The sequence below is a fragment of the Homo sapiens genome, chromosome 15 (assembly GCF_000001405.40).
Source record: "Homo sapiens chromosome 15, GRCh38.p14 Primary Assembly".
NCBI classification, from domain to species: domain Eukaryota; kingdom Metazoa; phylum Chordata; class Mammalia; order Primates; family Hominidae; genus Homo; species Homo sapiens.
Genome location: NC_000015.10, coordinates 44,615,625 through 44,640,885, shown reverse-complemented (window position 1 = coordinate 44,640,885; position 25,261 = coordinate 44,615,625). Strand labels below are relative to the sequence as shown.

General features: G+C 40.5%; 1 protein-coding gene across 8 annotated transcripts in view; it reads left to right on the top strand.

The window, feature by feature from the left end:
• The window catches only part of SPG11 (SPG11 vesicle trafficking associated, spatacsin), a 100,967-nt gene that overhangs the window by 22,777 nt on the left and 52,929 nt on the right, over positions 1-25,261 (top strand). For all 8 annotated transcript variants that reach the window (XR_001751402.2, NM_001411132.1, NM_001160227.2 and 5 more), the window contains exons 8-15: positions 7,249-7,381; positions 11,498-11,653; positions 12,042-12,217; positions 14,379-14,555; positions 18,087-18,158; positions 18,539-18,666; positions 18,952-19,127; positions 20,483-20,696. Coding sequence is in view for 7 of the 8 variants with exons in the window: in NM_001411132.1 (NP_001398061.1) it covers positions 7,249-7,381; positions 11,498-11,653; positions 12,042-12,217; positions 14,379-14,555; positions 18,087-18,158; positions 18,539-18,666; positions 18,952-19,127; positions 20,483-20,696 (1,232 nt within the window). In the remaining variant the exon portion in view is untranslated. The remainder of the gene's footprint in view (positions 1-7,248; positions 7,382-11,497; positions 11,654-12,041; positions 12,218-14,378; positions 14,556-18,086; positions 18,159-18,538; positions 18,667-18,951; positions 19,128-20,482; positions 20,697-25,261) is intronic.

The following is a 25,261-nucleotide window of genomic DNA, read 5'->3' as shown; positions in this document are numbered from 1 at the left end:
GGTGGTGCACACCTGTATTCCCAGCTACTCGGGAGGCTGAGGCAGGAGAATCACTTGAACCTAGGAGGCGGAGGTTGCAGTGAGCCAAGATCAGGACACTGCACTTCAGCCTGACGACAGAATGAGACTCCGCCTCAAAAAATAAAAAATAAAAAAGTCCTGTCTTTTACTGCTGATCTGAAATGTCTTGAGTGTCATATATTAAGTTTCCACATATGCATGAATTTGTTTTTGACCTCTCTATTCTGTTCATAGGTCTTTCCTTAGGCCAATTCCATCTTGCCTTTATTATCGAGGATTTTAATTAGGACAAATTCCCTTATTCTTCAGGGGTGCCTTTATTGTTGTCTGTTCCTTAATCTTTACTTTTTAGGATTAGCTTGTCAAGTTTCATGAAAAATTGTTAGGATTTATATTAGAATTACATTAAATCTATATATCAAGTTGGGAAGAAATGGCGTCTTTAGGATATTTAATCTTTATATCCATAGTCTTTCTTGTCTTTTGGGGGGCGGGGCAGGTCTTTATTAATGTCTTTCAATAAAACATTACAATTTTTACAATTTTTCCATTAAAATCTTGGCATCTTTTCCATTATTTTTGGTGTGTGTGTTGTGTGTATATTTAAATACTGTATTTATTGTTCATTCTAAGTGTTTTTGTTTTTGTTTTTTTTGAGACGGAGTCTCACGCTGTCACCCAGGCTGGAGTGCAGTGATGTGATCTCGGCTAACTGCAATCTCCATCTCCTGGGTTCAAGCGATTCTCCTGCCTCAGCCTCCCAGGTAGCTGGGACTACAGGCACATGCCCCTACGCCTGGCTAATTTTTTGTATTTTTAGTAGAGACGGGGTTTCACTGTGTTAGCCAGGCTGGTCTCGATCTCTTGACCTCATAATCTGCCTGCCTCGGCCTCCCAAAGTGCTGGGATTACAGGCATGAGCCACCATGCCCGACCCTAAGTGGTATTTTTTAAATTGCATTTTGTTAATTGACAGTATAAGGAAATATAATTAATTTTTGTGTATTGATTTTTATATCCAGCAAATTTGTTAAATTAATCCTAATAATTTATTAGATTTTATTGAGTTTTCTATATAGTTAATATACATATAACATCAGAATAATATAGTTTTCTTTCATCTTTTCAAATCCTTGTATGTACTTCTTAGCACTTTTTTTTTTGAGACCAGGTCTCACTCTGTCACCTAGGATGGAGTGCAGTGGCATAGTCCTGGCTCACTGCAGCCTCCGCCTCCCAGTTGCAAGGGATACCCCCATGTGAGCCTCTGAGTAGCTGGGACTACGGTTGCACACCACCACACCCAGCTAATTTTTTTATTTTTTGTAGAGACAGGGTTTTGCCATGTGCCCCAGACTGGTCTTCAATTCCTAGCTCAAGCAATCCTCCCTCCTCGACCTTCAGAAGTGCTGGGATTACGGGCGTGAACCACCACGCCTAGCTACCACCTTTTTTCTTAATTGGGGTACTAGGGTCTCTAGTATAACATGATCCAGAAGTAATCTTTGCCTTATTCCTGAGTAGAGCACACACGCTCTCTCTCTGTCTCTCCATCTCTGTGTGTGTGTGTGTGTGTGTGTGTGTGTGTATCTCTTTGTGTGTGTGTGTGTGTTTTAAGATACCCTTTGTAAGGTTAAGTTCCCTTATGTTCCCTGCTATGAGGTTTTATCATGAATGGGTATTGGATTTTATTGAATGCCTATTCTGTATCTATTGAGATAATCATATGAATAATCTCCTTTAATTTGTTACTGTAATGAACCACATTATTACATTTTTATTTTTGTATTGTAAAATACAATGTGTAAAAAAATACGCAGGATACAGTTTAACAAATAATAATAGTTACTATTATTATTATTTTTTTTTTGGAGACAGTCTCACTCTGTCACCCAGGCTGGAGTATAGTGGCGCAATCTTGGCTCACTGAAACCTCCACAGCCCGGGTTCAAGCGATTCTCCTGCCTCAGCCTCCTTAGTAGCTAGGATTACAGGCATGCACCCCCACGCCCAACTGATTTTTGTATTTTTAATAGAGGTGGGGTTTCCCCATGTTGGCCAGCCTGGTCTTGAACTCCAAACTTTAGGTGATCCACCCACCTCGGTTTCCCAAAGTGCCGGGATTACAGGCGTGTGCCACTGCACTTGGCCAACAAATAATTATCAAGCAAAAACTCTTGTAACCACCATCCAGGTGAAGAAATAAAACATCATAAGCACTCCAGGAGCTCCTTTGTGCCCTAAACTAGTTTAGAAATTATTCACTTTCTGTTCTTTAAGAAGCTATCCTAGGAAATATAATGTACATACTTAAATTATCAGATCTAAAGTTTGTTTTTTTGTTGTGTGTGTTGGGGGGGGGGGTTTTGTGGTTTTTTTTGTTGTTTGTTTGTTTGTTTGTTTTGAGATGGAGTCTTGCTCTGTCGCCCAGGCTGGAGTGCAGGTGGCACGATCTTGGCTCACCGTAGCCTCCACCTCCTGTGTTCAAGCGATTCTTGTGCCCCAGCCTCTTGAGTAGCTAGGATTACAGGCGCCTGCCACCATGCCTAGCTAATTTTTTGTATTTTTAGTAGAGGCATTTCACCATGTTGGGCAGGCTGCTCTTGAACTCCCAACCTCAAGTGACCCACCCGCCTCGACCTCCCAAAGTGTTGGGATTACAGGCGTGAGCCACCACACCCAGCTCAGATCTACAGTTAATAACTAATTGTTTTGAATAATACAGGTCCGTTGAATGCTTTAACTTCATTTACTCATAGCCTATTCATGTTATTGTTGTGTTTTATTTTTTTAACCACATTAGACATTATTATGTATTTAGGTTCATTTTTCACCATTTATTTTGCTTTTTAAACTTTTTGCTGAAAATGAAGACACAAACACATACATATCCTAGGCCTAGGATCATCGATATCACTGTCTTCCACCTCTACATCTTGTCCCACAAGACAATCTTCAGAGGCAGTAACATGCATGGAGCTATCGTCTCCTATGCCTTTTTCTGGAATACCGTGAAGGACTTACCTGGGGCTGTTTTATAGCCAGCTTAAAAAAGAAATAAGGAGTACATTCTAAAATAACGAAAGTATAGCATAGTAAATAATAGGCTGTAGGAATTTTCAGCTCTATGATAATCTTATGGGAACCACCATTGTAAATGTAGCCTGTTGTTGAGTGAAATATTGTTATGTGGCACATGACTACTCAGTTTTAATAAAAGTTCCATGTGCTTGAAAATTGAAAATGTATTTTCCAACCCAGGCACAGTGGCTCACACCTGTAATCCACTTTGGGAGGCCGAGGTGCGCAGATCACTTGAGGCCAGGAGTTTGAGACAAGCCTGGCTAACATGCCAAACCCCATCTCTACTAAAAATACAAAAAAATTAGCCGGGTATGGTGGCTCACACCTATAGTCCCAGCTATTTGAGAGGCTGAGGTAGGAGAATCGTTTGAACCCAGGAGGTGGAGGTTGCACTGAGTGAGCTTGAGGAACTGCACTCCAGCCTGGGCAACAGAGTGAGATCCTGTCTCCAAAGAAAAAAGGGAAAACAAAATGTATCTTCCATTTGTCACATTGGTCTTTCAATCAGAAGTAGTTAGACTGTTGACACTTTGCTCAATCCTTCTTAACCACTATGAGACGTTGGTACATTGTGGATAATTTCTTCATATCTCCCAGTGCACTAATTCTTTCTTCACCTGTGTCTAATCTGCTATTAAACACATCTGTTTCTAATTTAAATTTTTATTTTTAGAATTACTATTTTGCATTGTTTTTATATGTGTGATTTTGAAAATTTGTAAATCTATAGAAAAACTTCAAAAATTAGTAAAATGAACATTAAGTTAAATTTCACCTAGTTCACCAACTATTAACATTTTACCACATTTGTGTTTTTTTTTTGTTTTTTTTTTTTTTTTTTTTTTTTTTTTTTTTGAGATGGAGTCTTGCTCTGTTGCCCACACCGGAGTGCAATGATGCGATCTCTGCTCAGTGCAACCCCTGCCTCCTGGGTTCAAGCGATTCTCCTCTCTCAGCCTCCCAAGTAGCTGGGATTACAGGTGTGCACCACCACGCCTGGCTAATTCTTGTATTTTTAGTAGAGGTGGGGTTTTACTATGTTGGCCAGGCTGGTCTCAAACTCCTAACCTCAAGTGACCTGCCTTTCTCCCAAACCACATTTGTTTTTTTGTTTTTTTTGAGACAGAGTCTCACTCTGTTGCCCAGGCTGGAGTGCAGTGGCACGATCTCGGCTCACTGCAAGCTCCGCCGCCCAGGTTCACGCTATTTTCCTGCCTCAGCCTCCTGAGTAGCTGGGATTATAGGCGCCCGCCACCACGCCCGGCTAATTTTTTGTATTTTTTAGTAGAGACGGGGTTTCACCATGGTAGCCAGGATGAAACCACATTTGTTTTAATTGTACCTTTTTTTTTTTCTTAACCATTTTAAAGTTGCAAACTTTATAATCCTTCACTCTAAGTACTTTAGTATATATATCATAAGAACAAGAATATTCTATTCATTGATAATTTAGTTTTTACTCCCATCACTCAGAACGAAGGCATAGTTTGTTTATAGTCTCCTCTCGGGCCAATAATTTTTTCTAGTTTATCTTTTTTTGGCGGGTGTCACCTCACATGGACCCTAGGTTTGTCCTGTTTTTTCTTCCTCCAACATAACTCCCACCAATATGTCTCACCTGCCTTGGTATATTAACACCCAGAACTTTGGCCCATTGGCTCTCAAAATCTGGTTTCTGGACCAGCAGCTCACCATGACCTGTAGATTAGAAATGCAAATTGTCAGGCCCCTCCCAATATCTATTGAATTAGAAGGTCTAGGGGCAGGGTTTTGCAGTCCACAGCTTGACAAATTCTCCAGGTGATTCTTATGCACACTGCTTTATGCTAAGGGTGGCAAATTTTTCTTTCTTTTTTTTTTTTTATAGGTGGAGTCTCACTCTGTCACTCAGGCTGGAGTGCAATGGCGCAATCTCGGCTCACTGTAACATCCGCCTGCCAGGTTCAAGCAATTCTCCTGTCTCAGCCTCCCAAATAGCTGGGACTGCAGGTGCACACCACCACACCCAGCTAATTTTTGTATTTTTAGTAAAGACAGGGTTTTACTATATTGGTCAGGCTAGTCTTGAACTCCTGACCTTAGGTGATCCACCCTCATCAGCCTCCCAAAATGCTGGGATTATGGGAGTGAGCCACCATACCCGGCTTTTTTCCTTTTTTCTTTTTTTTTTTTTTTTTTTTTTTTTGAGACAGGGTTGCATAGGCTGGAGTACAGTGACGCAATCACAGCTCACTGCAGCCTCAACTTCTTGGGCTCAAGACACCCTCCTGCCTCAGCATCCCCAGTAGTTAGGACTACAGGTGTGCGCCACCACACCCAGCTACTTTTTAATTTTTTTTAGTAGAGACAAGGTCTTTACTAAAACCTTTTTAGAAACAAGGTCTCACTATGTTGCCCAGGCTGGTCTCAAACTCCTGGGCTCAAGCAGTCTTCTCGCCTCAGCCTCCGAAAGTGCTGGGATTGCAGGCATGAGCCACTGTGCCCCAACAACTTTGTAAAGGATCAGACAGTAAATATTTTAGGCTTCTCAGGCCACATGCTCTTTTGTTTTTGTTTTTGTTTTTTGAGACAGCATCTTGCTGTGCTGCCCAGGCTGGAGTGCAGTGGTATGATCTTGGCTCACCACAACCTCCACCTCCCGGGTTCCAGCGATTCTCCTGCCCCAGACTTTTGAGTAGCTGAGAGTACAGGTGCCTGCCACCACACCTGGCTAATTTTTGTATTTTTAGTAGAAATGGGGTTTCACCGTGTTAGCCAGGCTGGTCTCGAACTCCTGACCTCAGCTGATCCACCTGCCTCGACCTCCCAAGCTGGGATTACAGGCATGAGCCACCACACCTGGCCATCATACTTAAAAAAAAAATGTTTATTTTATTTTTGTTTATTAAAAATATAGAATGCAGCCAGGTGCGATGGCTCATGCCTGTAATTCCAGCACTTTGGGAGGCCTAGGCGGGAGGATCCTCACCTGAGGTCAGAAGTTTGAGACCAGCCTGGCCATCATGGTGAAACCCCGTTTCTGTTAAATTAGCTGAGTGTAGTGGTTCAGACTTGTAATCCCAGCTACCTGGGACTCTGAGGTGGGAGGATCACTTGAACCTGGGAGGCGGAGATTGCAGTGAGCCAAGATGAAACCACTGCACTCCAGCCTGGGCGACAGAGCAAGACTCTGCCTCAAAAAAGACAACTGAGAATCTGGCTGGGCGCAGTGGCTCATGCCTGTAATCCCAGCAATTTCGGAGGCCGAGTTGGGTGCATTGTTCTAGGCCAGGAGTTCGAGACTAGCCTAGCCAAACGCAGTGAAACCCGTCTATTAAAAATACAAAAAAAAAAAAAAAATCAGCTGGGTGTGGTGGTGCATGCCTGTAGTCCCAGTTACTCCAGAGGCTGAGGCACGAGAATCACTTAAGCTGGGCAGGCAGAGGTTGCAGTGAGGTGAGATCATGCCACTGTACCTCAGCCTGGGTGACAGAGTAGGACTTTATATTGTACTGCCATAACATTTTAATTCAAATAGAATATAACTGAATTGTAAGGGTAATCCCTAATATTTAGCTTTGAATTGTTGTAGAAATATAAAATGGTAGAGCTGAAAAGGTTTTGTAGTCTAATAACCTCCTGTTTCTATTGAAGCAGAAATTGGGCCAGGCGCAGTGGCTTGTACCTGTAATCCCAGCACTTTGGGAGGCCAAGGCAGGTGGATCATTTGAGGTCAGGAGTTCGAGACCAGCCTGGCCAACACAGTGAAACCCTGTCTCTACTAAAAATACAAAATTTAGCCGGACATGGTGGCGGGCACCTGTAATCCGAACTACTTGGGAGGCTGGGGCAGGAGAATCTCTTGAACCTGAGAGATAAAGGTTGCATTGAGCTAAGATCATGCCATTGCACTCCAGCCTGGGCAACAAGAGCAAAACTCTGACTCAAAAAAAAAAAGAAAGGAAAAGAAAGGTTACAGAGTCTTGCCCCAGATTGCATAATCAGTCATTGTCAAAATCCTCACTGGAGCCCATGTACTCATGCAGTCTTTTGCCTCCTGTAGTCTCACCACATTAAATTCTAAAGTTTGTTTAAAAATCTGAATCCTGATTTTTTTTTCCTATTGTAATTTTTTTCTGATTTTTATTTTCCTCCTCATTTCAGGCCGGGATAGAAAATCGTCAGCTGGACACAGTAAATTTCTTTTTGAAGAGCAAGGAAAATCTTTTTAATCCATCCTCAAAATCTTCTGTATCTGATCAGTTTGATCACTTGTCATCCCATTTATATTTAAGAAGTAAGTGGAATAAAGATTTCTACATTTGTATTTATCATTTGATCTTCTTAATAACTTTCAAAGTATGATGTTGTGTTTTCTGATGACTCATTTACTTGCCAAAACTTAGTCATGGGATTTTACGTACTTTTTGGAAACTTTCTTTTTTTTTTTTTTTTTTTTTTTTTTTTTTTTTTTTTTGAGACAGAGTCTCACTCTGTTGCCTAGGCTGGAGTGCGGTGATGACAGCTCACTGCAGCCTCACCTCCTGGACTCAAGCAGTCCTCCCACCTCAGCCTACTACAGTAGCTGGGACTACACGTGTATGCCACCACACTCAGCTATTCTTTGTAGAGAATGGGGTCTCACTGTGTTGCCAGGCTGGTCTCAAACTCCTGGGCTCAAACAATCCTCTGCCTCCCAGAGTGCTGGGATTACAGGCGTGAGCCACCATGCCTGGACAACTTTGTGGAAATTTGGCAGTGTTATCAGATTCTATAAATGTCCCCATACTATGTGGGGTATTTATTGCTCATATCTTTTACTGTACTCTGTATTTTTATTATGCAAGGAAGAGGCAATCTTTCAAATTCAAGACAGTTTTATACACAACAGAAAAACATTTATTTGGAAAATTGCCTGCCCTTGCAACCATCTGAGATGTGTATTGACAGTGTGGCTTTCTGAGTTGTGGATTAGGATTTGTTATAAGAATTTTTGGTGGGATGCAGTGGCTCGCCCTGTAATCCTAACACTTTAGGGGCCAAGGTGGGAGGATCGCTTGAGTCTAGGAGTTTGAGACCAGTCTGGGGAACATAGCAAGACCCCATTCTACAAAAGAATTTTAAAAATTAGTTGGGCATGATGACGCATCCATAGTCCCAACTACTTGGAAGGCTGAGGCTGAGGATTGCTTGAGTCTGGGAGGTCTAGGCTGCAGTGATCTATGATTGTGCCACTGCACTTCAGCCTGGTTGCAAAGTACGACTCTCAAAAAAAAAAAAAAAATTCACCCAGACTTCTCTGCTTTTTTGCCATATTACCAACACTTTTCAAGATTTTGGCTTTCCTTTTTAATAAATAGGAAGCCTAACTTTTATTCTTAGACCAGGTAGCCATGTAAATTCTCTCCTTAGAACAACAGGGTAATAAAGTATATTTTCCCCTTGTTAAATAAAAATTACTGGAAACCATTGTTTTGGTGTGAGCTGTACTAGGCCCCATCAGACCAGAACAGAAATCAAAATGGAGTCAACTATGCTAAAGTTCCATAGCATCAAACTTAAAATAAGGTGGTCTTCTGACATTGGGAGAAATTAGGAGAGAGCCAATAATCCCAAACAGTCCAGTTTCAATCTTCAATCAGCGTGATAATGACGTTCCTCTGATATAATCCTTATGTAAAAGAAGTAATGTAGGCCAGGTGCAGTGGCTCATGGCTGTAATTCCAGCACTTTGGGAGGCTGAAGCGGGAGGATCTCTTGAGCCCAGGAGTTTGAGACTAGCCTGGGTAACATAGTGAAACCTTACCTCTACAAAAAATTTAAAAATTAGCTGTGCGTGGTGGTGTGCATGTGTGGTCTCAGCTACTCAGGAAAGGGAGGTGGGAGGATTGCTTGAGCCTGGGAGGTTGAGGCTGCAGTGAGCCGTCATCACGCCATTGCACTCCAATCTGGGCAACAGAGTGAGACTCTGTCTCAAAAAAAAAAAAAAAAAAAAAAAGCTGGGTGCAGTGGCTCACACCTATAATCCCAACACTTTGGGAGGCCCAGGCGGGAGGATCACTTGAGACCAAGAGTTCATGACCAGCCTGGGCAACATAGTGAGACTCAGCCTCTATTTTTAATTGAAAAAAAAAAAAAAAGCCTGATGCAGTTTCATGTTAAATAATCAGTATTTTTTGTATTATTCTGTCTCTCTTCATCTTACAAAAAAAGTAGCTTTGAAACAACTAATATGCTCTTTTTTCTTTGCTTCTGCTTTCTTCAGCTCTTCCATGTCTATAAAGCCAACCCCTTCTGCTCAGCTCACTAGAACACCTTTTCCATGTTATGAAATTAAGTGTTGCCACATTCTAGAGTTGCAATAAAACCAATTGAGATCTTTAATCTAAATTTGTTGTAATTTTGTCCTTTGACACTCTGTAAATACGGTTTTATAATCTGTGTTTTTTCCCCACTTTATACTATAGACATCTTTCTTGTTAATAATATATACTTACTAAATATGATGACATAGAATTTCATTGTATGGGCTGTACCATAATTTACCAAGCCAAACTCCTGTTAGACATTTAGATTTATTCTAGTTCTTAGCTGTTAACAGTGTGCTAGAAATGCTGTATGTGTGTGTAATTTCACATATATATAATCATTTACTTATATTACTAGAATTTATTGTTAAATTCTAGACCTGGAATTTCCAGGTTTAAGAGTATGCACAATTTATATTTTTAAACACCTTGATAAATTGTCCTTCAAAAGTTGTATCAATTTGTAGTCTGCTTACATGGAGAAAATTACAACCTGCTGTTTTTCCACTGATGTAGTATTAGCTTTCACTGAGAAAATGAATTGGATGTTTTCTTTTTTTTCTTCCTAAATCTCATATGTGGTGGAAAGATATTTTCTTTTAAAAACACATTCTCAGACTGGGTGCAGTGTCTCACGCCTATGATCCCAGCACTTTGGGAGGCCGAGATGGGTGGATCATGAGGTCAAGAGTTCGAGATCAGCCTGACCAACGTGGTGAAACCCCATTTCTACTAAAAATACAAAAATTAGCCATGTGTGGTGGTGCATGTCTGTAATCCCAGCTACTCGGGAGGCTGAGGCAGGAGAATCGCTTGAAGGGAGGAGGCGGAGGTTGCAGTGACCCGAGATCGCTCCATTCCATTCCAGCCTGGAGGACAAGTGAAACGCCGTCTCAAAAAAACAAAAACAAAAACACACATTCTATTTTGTTTTGAGTGCAGAGTTTGGTCTCCTCTTTCTTGAATTGCCAGCTTTTCTAATGCTCTGATGTTTTAAAAACTGCTTAAATTTATAGAAAAAGGCCTAGTTTTTGATATTGAGCAGGGCTCCATCAGCAGTTGTAGAGTCATTATTCACTTCTGTTGTTTGGTGGTTAGTGATTTCTCCTCATTCCACTCTCACCTGCACTGCTCAGCTCTAAAGGGTGGAGATGGGACCTGAATGAGAAGCACTGGTAATAGCCTTACCTGCTCCCCTAGGGGGAAAACCCGTTTCCCATAATTCTCATACATCTCACAGATGTAATCCACGGGGGGCAGCGGGAGGAGTGCTGAGACAAACAGGAATCACTTAATTAGAGCCTTCAGCTGCCGATGCAACATCCAGGGGCCCACACTTCTTGTTTTCACTTGAATGTTTAGCACAGAATAGCTTTGCAATCAGACAGGCTTAAATTCAAATTTTGGCCCTGCCACTTACTTTTTCTTTTTTCACTCTGTTGCCCAGGCTGCTGGAGTACGGTGGCACAATCTTGGCTCACTGCAACCTCCGCCTCCCGGGTTCAAGCAATTCTTCTGCCTCAGCCTCCTGAGTAGCTGGGATTACAGGCACCTGCCAGCACGCCTGGCTAATTTTTGTATTTTTAGTAGAGGCGGGGTTTCACCATGTTGGCCAGGCTGGTCTCGAACTCCTGACCTCAAGTGATCTGCTTGCCTTGGCCTCCCAAAGTGTTGGGATTATAGGCATGAGCCACTGCGCCCGGCCCTGCCACTTACTTTCTAAATTAGCTCGGGCAAGTTACTTATCCTCTCTGAACCTCAGTTTTTTTAATCTATGGAAAGAGAATATAATACACACCTACCTCTTAAGTTGTTGAAAGGAATAAATGAGATAGCATTTATAAAACAACAAGTACAGTACTTAAGATGTAGGTGGTCAGCAAAAGGGTAATAGCAGTGATATCAGTAAATGATAACTATTAATAATTAGAATCATTAAAGTTTGCAGGTAATAAGCCTGCAGAAAAGTTTTGTGAGCTTTTTGAAAATAAGACATTGGTCCTTGTTTTATGTTTAAAAATATTGTAACATGATATTTTTGATATGTTAATTTTATTGTGAGTATCCTGGTGTTCTTTATGTTAATTTCTTTGGTTCTTTCTCAGATGTGGAAGAGCTGATACCAGCATTGGATTTACTTTGCTCGGCAATTAGAGAAAGTTATTCTGAACCCCAAAGCAAACACTTTTCAGAACAATTGCTTAATCTTACACTGTCTTTCCTTAACAACCAAATAAAGGAGCTTTTCATTCACACTGAAGGTAAGAATAGCAGCTAGGAAGGGGGCAATTCTACTGTTCCTGTGTCAGAACAGATACAAGTGCTGCTATTGGGTGACACAGCATAAACCAGTGGCACGCCATTTACTACATTTGGGTAAGGTCAGTGTGTAGTTGAGTAAGTGAAATGGGTTTTGATACTGAGAAAGTTGGTAGAAAGACCCAGGACTAATCATGAAGGACAAGAAAAGGAAAGGGTTATATTAAAATACAGAGCTACTTACTTGTAAAAAGGAAAATCCTCAGACATATTGTTTGAAATTTAAAAATACCAAGTTTGAATTTTGACTTTCTTTAGAATTCTTTATAACAGCTCATGGTTTATATTTACACACACACACACAAATTGGCACATTGGTATTTTCCATAGAACTAGATGAACATCTGCAAAAAGGAGTGAACATTTTGACTAGCTACATTAATGAACTTCGAACCTTCATGATAAAGTTTCCTTGGAAGCTAACAGATGCTATAGATGAATATGATGTACATGAAAATGTCCCCAAAGTAAAGGAGAGCAATATATGGAAGAAACTCAGCTTTGAGGTAAGTACGAATAATCATCACTTCTTTTATTTGCCAGATTCAGAAGGTCTGAGAAAACAATAGAAAGAAACAGAATTCAGACTCTATATACTTGTGATTCAGAATGTTTGGCAAAGGTTTTAGGTTTTATCGGTTTGGGGATTTCTGATTATGACTTCAAATTTATGTCTACAAGCTCCATTTATTTAATTCGCTATAAGGGTAGGCTCCCTCTTAATGCTAGATCTGCCCACTTGGGTTCAGTAACAAACACCCAACTCTAAACCCATGTGAAGTGGTACTCCTTAGCAATACTCCCTCATTGGCTCAAGCCTGGTGCTTTGGACACATGCATTCTGCCTGACTGGATAAATTGAATTGCTGCTGATGATTAGATCTTTGGAAATTTTTATTTTATGACATTATTACTTAGAAGTATACTTAATTTTAGTCCTATCTGAAATTCTATTTAAGACATTTTGCCAGTTAAATTTGTTTCCATCTGTTTGCCTTTTTTCCCACCACAGTAAAAGTTATAATACAACTAAAATTTACTACCATCTGTATGACTTAGGGACTGGAAGAATTCCTTCATCCACTGGAGGGTATTGGTATTGGAAAAACAAAAGCTAAAACAGCTTAACACAGATGATCATAATCAATTGGGAATTAAAGTGATAAGATGGAGATGCTGCTAGGTTGTTAAGATTGCTGTTCTTGGGGTGGAGGGATTAAAGTACGTGGTGTGACTGCATTTTCTGTATCTCTTATTCATTCTGTAACCTTAAAAAGTAAGAAATTATCCGGGTACGGTGGCTCACGCCTGTAATCCCAGCACTTTGGGAGGCCGAGGCAGGCAGATCACAAGGTCAGGAGTTCAAGACAAGTCTGACCAAATGGTGAAACACTGTCTGTACTAAAAATACAAAAAAATTAGCCAGGTGTGGTGGCAGGCGCCTGTAATCCCAGCTACTCGGGAGGCTGAGGCAGGAGAATTGCTTGAACCCGGGAGGTGGAGGTTGCGGTGAGCTGAGATCGCACCACTGCACTCCAGCCCAGGTGACAGTGCGAGACTCTGTCTCAAAAAAAAAAAAAATTACTTACTTTTCCTTCTACTTTTTTGTCTCCTTTTTCCTGTCTCCTTCACAGATTTCTCTTCCTGTTTCCCTCCTTTAATGTTCTGCAAGGCTCTGTCTATGGTCCTCTTTTTACTCAAAATCACTGATTTTCAACTTTTGCCAGGGGAAGGGGTTATATTTTACTCTGGTAAAAATTGTAGACCCTGTCTTCAAAAACAGGCATGTGAATGTGTACACATAGACAAAATTTTATACATGGCTTAATGGGGTTTACAGATCTCTTTAAAGCCCTAGGTTAAGAGTGCCTCCTTTCTGTTCCCTCTAGTGTTTAGATCTTCAGTTTAAGTATTTCTTTTCACATGGATTATTGGTAGTAGCCTTCTAATGCCTCAATATCTTGAGCTTGAATCACTTTTAGTCCACTCTCTATATTGCTGCCTGGATATTTTTCTGTAAATATATATCTGATTACATCACATCTTGCTTTTACGGTCTTTCAGTGGCTCCACGTAGTTTCAGGATAAAATCTACCTCAAACGCAAGGCTCATGATGATGGATCCTCTGCTTTGCTTTCAAGTCTCATCTGCTACTCTCTCCAGTTACATTGAGTAATTTGTAGTTCCCTGAAGGCTTGATGCAGTTTCTTTTCTTTGTCCCTCTGCATATGATATTCCCTCTTTTTGGAACACTTATCCTCTTATCTCAGTATATCTACGGAACACTTACTGGTCTTTAAATTTTTTGCCCATCAGTTACTAGTTACTTCTACTAGCAAGCCTATGTGGGGGGACACGGGGGTGGGGGTGGTCATCCTTCTTATTTAGGTGTTTCTCTTCTAGACCTTCCTCTCTAGCACCCTGGGTTACTTTTATCACAGCCCTTATCATACAGTACTATAATCGGTGTGTCTTCCACTAGCTCCTGGAGTGTAGGGTCTTAGTTTTACTCAATTTAATATCCCTTGAACCTAACTCCAAATCTAGTAATAGATTTTAAATAAAAGTTCCTTTGTTAGATGTTACATAAATGTATAATCCCATGTTGATAATCATAATAAGGAAATGAAAAAGAACTTAAAAGGCAAACGTTTTTCTTTTCCTAGGAAGTTATTGCCAGCGCCATTTTAAACAACAAAATACCAGAGGCACAGACTTTCTTCAGGATTGATAGTCATTCTGCTCAAAAACTTGAGGAGCTTATTGGCATAGGCCTAAATTTGGTCTTTGACAATTTAAAAAAGAACAATATAAAGGAAGCCTCTGAACTTTTGAAGAATATGGTGAGTGGTGTAATCCATAAAGTCTTAAAATGTATTTAATATAATTTCTAGTTATTATAAAATTGGTTTGTATTCATAATTATTTCATAAACTAAGAAATTTATGTAGTAAATAATGACACTAAGAAATAATGACATTAATAACACTGAGAATGGCTGGGTGTGGTGGCTCATGTCTATAATCCCAGTGCTTTGGGAGGTTGAGGCAAGAAGATCGCTTAAGGCCAGGAATTCAATACCAGCATGGGCAACATAGCAAGACCCTGTCTCTAAAAAAAATAAAAAGGACGTGGTGGCTTACACCTTGTACCTTGTATTAGTCCATTCTCATATTGCTATAAAGAAGTACCTGAGCCGGGCGTGGTGGCTCACGCCTGTAATCCCAGCACTTTGGGAGGCTGAGGTGGGTTGATCACCTGAGGTCAGGAGTTTGAGACCAGCCTGACCAACATGGCGAAACCCCGTCTCTACTAAAAGTAGAAAAATAAGCCGGGTGTGGTGGCGGGCGCCTGTAATCCCATCTACTGGGGAGGCTGAGGCAGGGAAAATTGCTTGAACCCAGCAGGCAGAGGTTGCAGTGAGCCAAGATGGTGCCACTGCGTTCCAGCCTGGGCAACAGAGCAAGACTCCATCTCAAAAAGTAACTAAATAAATAATAATGAACTACCTGAGACTGGGTAATTTAGAAAGAAAAGAGGTTTAATTGGCTCACAGTTCCACAGGCTATACAAGAAGCATGGCTGGGGAGGCCTCAGGAAACTTACAGTCATGGCAGAAGATGAAGGGGAAGCAGGCCTGTCTTACATGGCAGGAGAAAGAGGAAGAGAGAGCAGTGGGGAGGTGCTACACACTTTTAAACAACCAGATATCGTGAGAACTTACTTCCTATCACAAAAACAGCAAGGGGGAAATCCGCCCCCATGATCCAGTCACCTCCCAACAGGCCCCTCCTCCAACATTGGGGGTTACAATTCAACATGAGATTTGGGCAGGGGCACAGATCCAAACCATAGCACACCTGTAGTCCTAGCTACTCAGAAGGCTGAGGCAGGAGGATCTCCAGGAGTTCTAGGCTGCAGTGAACTATGATTGCACCTAAAAATAGCTGGTAACAGAGCAAGACCCTGTCTCTAAATCTAAAAGAGAAATAACACTGAGAAATGTTTTGGTACTGAGAGCTTTTTTTTTTTTTTTTTTGAGACAGAGTTTCACTCTTGTTGCCTAGGCTGCAGTGCAATGGTGCGATCTTGGCTCACAAAACTTCCACCTCCCAGGTTCAAACGATTCTCCTACGTCAGCTTCCTGAGTAGCTGGGTTTACAGCATGCGCCACCATGCCTGGCTAATTTTGTGTATTTTTAGCAGAGACGGGGTTTCTCCATGTTGGTCAGGCTGGTCTCGAACTCTTGACCTCAGGTGAGCCACCTGCCTCGACCTCCCAAAGTGCTGGGATTACAGGCGTGAGCCACCGTGCCTGGCCTGAGAACTTTCTTGAAGATATTTTCCCCCTAATTTTATTTAGGTATGAGTGACAAAAATTACATGTATTTAAGGTATACAATATGATGTTTTGATATGTATGTACATTGTGAAAAAATTACCACAAGTAAGCTAATTAATATATCACCTCACATAGTTATGTGTGTCTATATGGTGAGAACACTTGAGATCTACTCTCAACAGATTTCAAGTATACAATGTATTATTATTAACTTTAGTTACTATGCTGTACATAGGTCTCCAGAACTTATTTATCTTATATCTGAAAGTTTGTACCTTTTGACCAATATCTACTCCTTTCCCCTACCCCACAGTCCTTGGTAATATCATTCCACTCTCTATTACTGTGAGTTCAGCTTTTTTTTAGATTCCATATATAAGTGAGAGCATGAAGAATTTGTCTTTCTTTGTCTGGCTTATTTCATTTAGCATAATATCTTCCAGGTTCAGCCATGTTGTTTAAAATTGCAGGTTTTCCTCTCTCTCTCTCTTTTTTTTTTCTTTTTTTGTAGAGACAGGGTCTCACTATGTTGCCCAGGCTGGTCTCGAACTCTTGGGCTCAAGCAATCCTCCTGCCTTGGTCTCCCAAAGTGCAGAGATTATAGGCATGAGCCAACATACTTGGCCTTTCTTTTTTTTTTTTTAAGGCCAAATAATATTCCTTTGTATATATACACCACATTTTCTTTATCCATTCATCTGTTGATAGACACTTAGGTTATTTCCATATCTCTTGAAGAGATTTTTAAATGGCATTTAAAAGTACTCTCTGAGCCGAGTGCAGTGGCTCACACCGGTAATCCCAGCAATTTTGGAGGCCGAGATGGGCAGATCACTTTTGAAGCAGGAGTTTGAGACCAGTCTGGCCAACGTGGTAAATGCTGTCTCTACTAAAAAGGCCAAAAATTAGCCAGGTGGGTGATGCATGCCTGTAATCCCAGCTATTCGGGAGGCTGAGGCACAAGAATCATTTGAACCCGGGAGGCAGAGGTTGCAGTGACCTGAGATCACACCACTGCATTCCATCCAGCCTGGGTGACAGAGCGAGACCCTGTCTCAAAAAAAAAGAAAAAGAAAAGAAAAGTACTCTGTTAGACCTGGCACTTTGATTAGGAGGAGATAGTGTTTCTCATAGAAGACTTCACACTTGTCGAAGCATGCATAGGAGCTCATTATTTGTTGGAGGACATTCTGTATTGTTCATGTGACCCCTTAACATCTCCACTTGAACTTTCTAATAAATTATGCCTTTGCTGGGCTTTATGCTCTGTGGTTTTACTTCATATGAGAAGGGGAAGCCTTAGAAGTAGGGCTCCTAGACTAAGCTGAGATCTAGCCCTAACCTGCATGGTTGGGGTCTTGCCCATGGTAACTTTCAGGAGGTGCAGAGGAGTGGAACTGTGTAAAAGGGATGTTGTTTGCATTGATCATTGTTTCCACTTGAATCAGCATACCAGATTGCTGTCATTTTGGTCCTGTGGTAGCCTAGCATTGCCTTAAATTGTTCTGTGTGCTGCCTTTGCTCTGACAAAATGCTTAAGGACTTTAGGGATAGGCAGTAAATACATATAATGAATGTAGGAGGGCCAGGCAGGGTGGCTCATGCCTGTAATCCTAGCACCTTGGGAGGCTGAGGCAGGAGGATCACTTGAGCCTAGGAGTTCAAGACCAGCCTGGGCAACAGGAAGAAATCCCATCTCTACAAAAAATACAAAAATTAGCCAGGCATGGTGATGCACACCTGTAGCCCCAGCTACTTGGGAGGCTGAGTTGGTAGGATCGCTTTGAGCCTGGGGGTCGAGGCTGCAGTGAGCTGTGATCACACCACTGTACTCCAGCCTAGGCAGCACAGCTAGACTGTCTCAAAAAGAAAAAAGAAAGTAGGGAAATGAGTGTTTGAAAGAGCAGAAAGCTATGGAATTCTAACAAGATAGATGTTTATAATAGGGTGTTTCTGTATCTAACACATATTTATGTTCAAAATAGTTCCATTACAAAATGTAACTTTTTTTGGTTTTCTATGTTTATTTTAGGGGTTTGATGTAAAAGGCCAATTGCTCAAGATCTGCTTCTATACAACTAATAAAAATATACGTGACTTTTTGGTAGGTAAAGGTGAGACTACATAGTATACATTTTCTAGAAAGCCTGGGTGAAAAACTTGGAAGAAAACCTTGGAAGAAAAACCTTAAGTAATTTTAATGTTCAACTAATATCTAATAAGTAAAAGTGTGACAACCCCTTCATCTTTTTTTCCCCTTCATCTTTCTTCAATGACTATTTTACATTTGTGGCAAAAGAAAATTTGTGTTAACATACATTAACTCAAATGTTCAAAATATAATTCTTGAATGGCATATTATCTCATGACTTTTTTTAATAATCTTTAATTCCCAGCACTACCTTATTTGATAATCTCATGACATTTTTTGCAAAAGTGCTTGATTTTTTGTAAAGTCACTGCTTTAATTACTTTTTATTCAAGGTTGAAATTTTAAAAGAAAAAAATTATTTTTCTGAAAAAGAGAAAAGAACTATAGACTTCGTGCATCAAGTTGAGAAGCTTTATTTGGGACATTTCCAAGAAAATATGCAAATCCAGTCATTTCCCAGGTAGTCTCATTAGTCCTCTTTTGATAATATTAGAATACCGTTAGATAGTATTTCATTTATAGTTGTTAGTGAACACAAGTTTCTTATGTGGAACTGAGCCTGCATTCTCCTTGGAGATAAAACTTGTATCAGACAGAAGGGACTCGAGAGTTTTCTGTCATTTTAATATTTGCATAATCAGAATTATGTGTTCCCCAAAAGAGTGGATGTTCTTGAGCAGATAAAAAGGAATGATGCCTTTTTCTCCAAAATTAAAAAAAAAAAAATTTATATCACTGTTTTTAGGTACTGGATAAAGGAACAAGATTTTTTCAAGCACAAGTCTGTTTTGGACTCATTCCTGAAATATGATTGTAAAGATGAATTTAACAAACAGGACCATAGAATTGTGTTAAATTGGGCTCTGTGGTGGGATCAACTAACACAAGAATCCATCCTTCTCCCCAGGATAAGTCCAGAAGGCAAGTGTGAGAGAGCCTGAAATATGAACATACTGAATGAGGATTAAATTGGGTATTGATATTTGAATATTTTGATGTGTCTCAATTTTAGAATTCCTTTCGGGAAATAATATTCAGGTTCTTTAAAATGCAAGTCGTTGCATTAAGATCTCTTTCTTATCTCAGAGTTTCTGGGAGGGATTTATAATGTGCTAATAAAAGAAAAAAATAGTTAATTGAGATTTCAAGGCTGAGTTTTCATTCCAGCTTCAAAGTGACAATCTGTTTTTTCAAATAGTCTTGAGCTTCTTGTGTAAATTGGGGATCTATGCCATCTGATATGGGGGATCTGGGTCATAACTAACAGTGGTAAACAGTAGCAATTCAGAGAGTAAAATTCTGGCTTACTATTATGGCTGAAGTTTTTGTTTGTTTATTATTTTTAATTTATTTTTTTCTTTTCATCCTTCCCCATCTGAAACAAAGTTTTTATTTACATTAAGGGAAAGAGAAGGGAAAAAAAGGGTTGAACAGGTAAGTGAAATGTACAGCTAATACGTAAGTTTCATTTTAACCACCAGAGTAATTAGAAGCTACATCTAGTTCTTTGGCTGTAGCATTGATTATAAAATGAACAATGTGGCCAGGCACGGTGGCTCACACCTGTAATCCCAGAAATTTGGGAAACCGAGATGAGAAGATTGCTTGAGGCCAGGAGTTCAAGACCAGCCTAGCAACATAGTGAGACCCCCATCTCTACAGAATATATATTTTTTAAAATACCTGGGTGGACGGGCGTGGTGGCTCACGCCTATAATCCCAGCACTTTGGGAGGCTGAGGCAGGCGAATCACCTGAGTTCAAGACCAGCTTGGCCAACATTGTGAAACCCCGCCTCTACTAAAAATACAACAATTAGCTGGGTGTGGTGGTGCATTCCTGTAATCCCAGCTACTTGGGAGGCCGAGGCAGGAGAATCGCTTGAACCTGGGAGGCAGAGGTTGCAGTGAGCCAAGATTGCGCCACTGCACTCCAGCCTGGGCTACAGAGCGAGACTCTGTCTCAAAAAAAAAAAAAATTTACCTGGTCATGATGGCACATCCCTGTAGTCCCTGCTACTTGGGCAGCTGAAGTAGGAGTACCACTTGAGCCCAGGAGGTCGAGGCTGCCACGAGTGCACCACTGCACTCCAGCCTGGGCAACACAGCGAGATCCTGTCTCAAAAAAAGGAAAATAGTAAAACAGAGGACCTGAATAATTAATATATTGTATAAATATCTATGTCCAGATTGTTATATTTACTCAGTAATTTAGTGTTGAGTTACATGTCAATAGACATAATTAATTATATTTTAAAATGTGTTTTTTTTCATGTAGAATACAAATCATATTCCCCTGAAGCCCTCTGGAGATACCTCACAGCTCGCCATGATTGGTTAAACATTATCTTATGGATTGGAGAATTTCAAACCCAGCATAGTTATGCTTCACTTCAGCAGAACAAATGGCCCCTTCTGACTGTTGATGTTATTAACCAGAATACTTCCTGTAACAACTACATGAGGAATGAAATTTTAGATAAGCTGGCCAGGTATTATAACTGTTGAACTAATACCCAATGGGAAGAATACAAGGGAAGAGCAAGAAAAAATAATGGTATAGCTTTTCCTTTGAAATGCCATAAATCCAGTGTAGTGTTGTTTCATATTACTATAAAATTTAAAGGGCATCATCTTACAGTGAGGTTTTAAAATCATACTCATTTGGCCAAGTGCGGTGGCTCATGCCTGTAATCTCAGCACTTTGGGAGGCCAAGGCGGGCAGATCACCTGAGGTCAGGAGTTCAAGACAAATCTTGCCAACACGGTGAAACCCTGTCTCTACAAAAATACAAAAATTAGCCAGGCATAATGCCGGGTACTCCCAACTACTTGGGAGGCTGAGGCAGGAGAATCGCTTGAACCCAGGAGGCAGAGGTTGCAGTGAGCCGAGATTGCGCCATTGCACTCCAGCCTGGGCAACAGAGTGAGACTCTGTCTCAAAAAAAAAAAAAAAAAAATCATATGCATTTAATATCATGTGGGTAGTAAATAAGCTCTCAAGGTCTAGATGCAGGTTCCTCCCAAAACATTTTATGCACTTTGGTATAGAAATGTTAAGTTTTCAGTAGGGCTATAAGGAGCAAGTGACAAGAGCTGAGATGGAGATACCTTAGTATCCTGTCTCCTGTGCTTCATATCACTACATGTGTGTTGTGCATGTTCTTGAACTAAGAGAACTGCTGAATTAAGAAATAATGAGGGGAAGTAGCTCTTGAAGTGATGTGAAGATTTTAAACTTTAATTCATTTAGAAAAGCCTGTTAAATTGAACCATATGAACTTGCCATTTGTGTGGGTCAAAAATGACTGAATATCAACCATTTCATTCGGCTCCATTTAATCTATCTTTCTAACCTGTTGAAATAGTATAAGGAAAGCTAATAACATGTATGTTAAGTTTCTTAAACATATTTTTATGTATTATTTTCTATTTACACTTATTGGGGTATACTTACAGCTGTATTTTCCTCCCCAGCTTAAAGATGTGGAGAGTCAGATCCAGGGACGTTAAGTGCTTTGCCCAAGCCAGTTTGTTACAGATTTAAATCCCTTAGCCCTGATTTTCTATTCATTCTTCTCTCCATTGCACTAAATGCTCTTGTTTACTACTAGTAAATATTATAGAACTTGTGTGCTTACCTAATATTTTGCTTAGCATTTGGTTTTTAAACTAATGTATATATGGTTTTGGAATTATGAAATTAGTAAATTAATGAACTCTATACCACCAGATTAAAGGGGAAAAATCATACCACCCTGTTAGATACAGAAAAGCATTTGATAAAATTCAGCCTATTTACAATCAAAACTTGGCAAACTAAGCATAGATGCAAACTCCGTTAACTTAATTTTTTTTTTTTTTGAGATGGAGTCTCGCTGTCACCCAGGCTGGAGTGCAGGGACGTGATATTGGCTCACTACAAGCTCTGCCTTCTGGGTTCACACCATTCTCCTGCCTCAGCCTCCAGAGTAGCTGGGACTACAGGCACCCACCACCACGCCCGGCTGATTTCTTTTTTTATTTTTAGTAGAGATGGGGTTTCACCATGTTAGCCAGGATGGTCTTCATCTCCTGACCTCGTGTTCTGCCCGCCTCGGCCTCCCAAAGTGCTGGGATTACAGGCGTGAGCCACCGTGCCCGGCCTTTTTTTTTTTTTTTTTTTGAGATGGAGTCTCACTCTGTCGCCCAGGATGGAGTGCAGTGGCGCTATCTCTGCTCACTGCAAGCTCCGCCTCCCAGGTCTCCTCATTCTCCTGCCTCAGCCTCCCCAGTAGCTGGGACTACAGGCGCCCGCCACCACGCCTGGCTAATTTTTTTTTTTCTTTTGTATTTTTAGTAGAGACGAGGTTTCACCATGTTAGCCAGATTGGTCTCAATCTCCTGACCTCGTGATCCGCCTGCCTTGGCCTCCCAAAGTGCTGGGATTACAGGCGTGAGCCACTGCGCCTGGCCTAAACTCCCTTAACTTAAAAGGGGTACCTAGAAAAATCCTTTTAGCCAACATCATACTTACTAGTGAAACATTGTGAGCATTCTCTTTAGATTTGGAGCAAGACAAGCCTGCTATCAAGTCTTACCAAGTTGATCTTTAAATATAGTGTAATCTCAGTAAAAATCCCAGCGGTTATTTTTTTGTTTTTTGTTTTTTGTTTTGTGGATTATGACATGCCGATCATAAATATTTATATAGAAATTAGAGGGTCTGCCGGGCACGGTGGCTCACACCTGTAATCCCAGCACTTTGGGAGGCTGAGGTAGGCAGATCAGTTGAGGTCAGGAGTTTGGGACCAGCGTGGCCAACATGATGAAACATCGTCTCTACTAAAAATACAAAAATTAGCTGGGCGTGGTGGCACTTGCTTGTAATCCCAGCTACTCAGAAGGCTGAGGCAGGAGGATCACTTGAACTCAGGAGGTGGAGGTTGCAGTGAGCCAAGATCAAGCCACTGAACTCCAGCCTGGGAGACAGAGTGAGAATCCATCTCAAAAAAAACAACAAAAAGAAATTAGAGGGTTAAGAAGAGCCCTGAAAAAGAACTTGCCCTACCAGATATCAAAACTTATTCTAAAGCTGTAGCAGTTAAGACAGAGTATTGGTGCCGGGGTAGAGAACAGAAGTGTGAGCCTAGAAACAGACCTATACCTGTATGATCATTTTACATATGACAGAGGTGGTCCTGCACAAGAGTGGAGAAAGAACCATCTTTTTGACAATGGGGCTAGAATAACTGAATAGCTATATGGGGAAAAAAATCTAATCAGATTCCCCTCCCTACCTTGTGTTGTACATTACATCAATTCTGGGTAGATGTTAACACCTAAATGTCAAATGTGAAAGTATAAAATATGGAAAATGCTATAAGTGAATATCTTCACAACCTTGGGAGTAGTAGGATATATGCTTTCTAAAAGGCCTAAAGGGGCAAAGATCTGGCACTGAGACCAAGAGAGCTGCCTGGCAGGAGTTGTGACCCTTAGTGTAGGGTGTCAGCCAAGCTGTAGTCACCCAGCACAGAGAGAGCCAGGATATTTCCTTTTATCTCCTGATGGAGCCCTCCCATTGAGTGAACTAAAACAGAAGTCTGAGGACACTGGGGTCTCGTAGTAGAACCCATAGAGGTGAGCCTCCAGGAACAGAGTAGGGTGACGCAGAGTAGAGCTTGGATCTGAGGAGAAGGATACCAGCACAGGCTTCTCACAAAAGAGGAAGCACAAATGGCTAATCAATATAGGAAAAGATGCTCTTCCTCATTTATAGGTAAGGAAATGCAAATTTATTTTACCCGAAATTTAGGAACAACTAAAATGGACCTCAGTGTTTCACTAATAAATATGATGTTGGCTAGAAGGATTTTTCTAGATACCCCTTGTAAAGTTAAGGGAGTTTGCATCTATGCTTAGTTTGCCAATAGTTTTTATCATAAGTATGGCTAAATTTTCTCAAAGGTAGAGTGGATAAATATGGTATATTCATACAATGGAATACTATATAATAATGAAAAATAACAAATTATACCCAGAGGTATCAACATGGATAAATCACACAATGTTGGGTAGAAGAAATAAGGTAGAGAACAATATATCCAGAATGTTCCACATAATACAAAGTTCAAAATAGGTAAAACCTTAAATTATTTGGGATTGCATATATGTGTAATAAAACTATGAATAAAAGTAAAAAGGCCAGACACAGTGGCTCACACCTGTAATCCCAACACTTTGGGAGGCCTAGGCAGGAGGATTGCTTGAGTCCAGGAGTTCAAGACCAGCCTGGACAACATAGACCTTGTCCCTACAAAAAATTTAAAAACTGAGTGTGGTGGCACATGCCTGTCGTCCCAGCTACTCAGATGGCTGAGGTAGGAGGATCACTTGAGCTCAGGAGGCGGAGCTTGCAGTGAGCTGAGGTGGCACCACTGCACTCCAGCCTAGGCGACAGAGCAAGACCCTGCCAAAAAAAAAAAAAAAAAAGTATGGGAATGATTATCATAAAAGTCAAGATAGTGGCTACCTCTGGAGGTAGCAAAGGGCATGCAGTTGGGAAGGAATATACCAAGGGCTTATAATGTTCTATAATTAGGTTAGTGGTTCCATGATGTTTCTATAAACTCCATATACAGGTATATATTTTCTTTACTCCTTTGGTATATATGATGTAACAGTAACTTTGTAAAAAGTAATATTTACATGCAGATTTCTATTCTTGTTCAGTAGGTCTATTTAAATTATTCTGATGTAGCATGATGATTTTGTTTGGATATCTTGGTGAATTTCTCAGTGCTTAGAGCATCTAGCTTCAAGGGTTAACCACTGTTGCTATACTGGGTAATGGCTCCCATCAAAAACCAAAAAATGGAAATAACTTGATTTAGGTTTTTAAAATAATAAAGATAGCTTGAGTCTGTCGTTGCTACCTTTAAATACTACAGTGGTGCAGAAAATTTTATTAGAAATCAGCAAAAAATGTGTCTGAGAACATATAGAGTAAGAACTGGCAGCATTAATTTGTAAATGCTTATTTTTAAGTAATTGAGACCTAAACTGTGGGCATGAT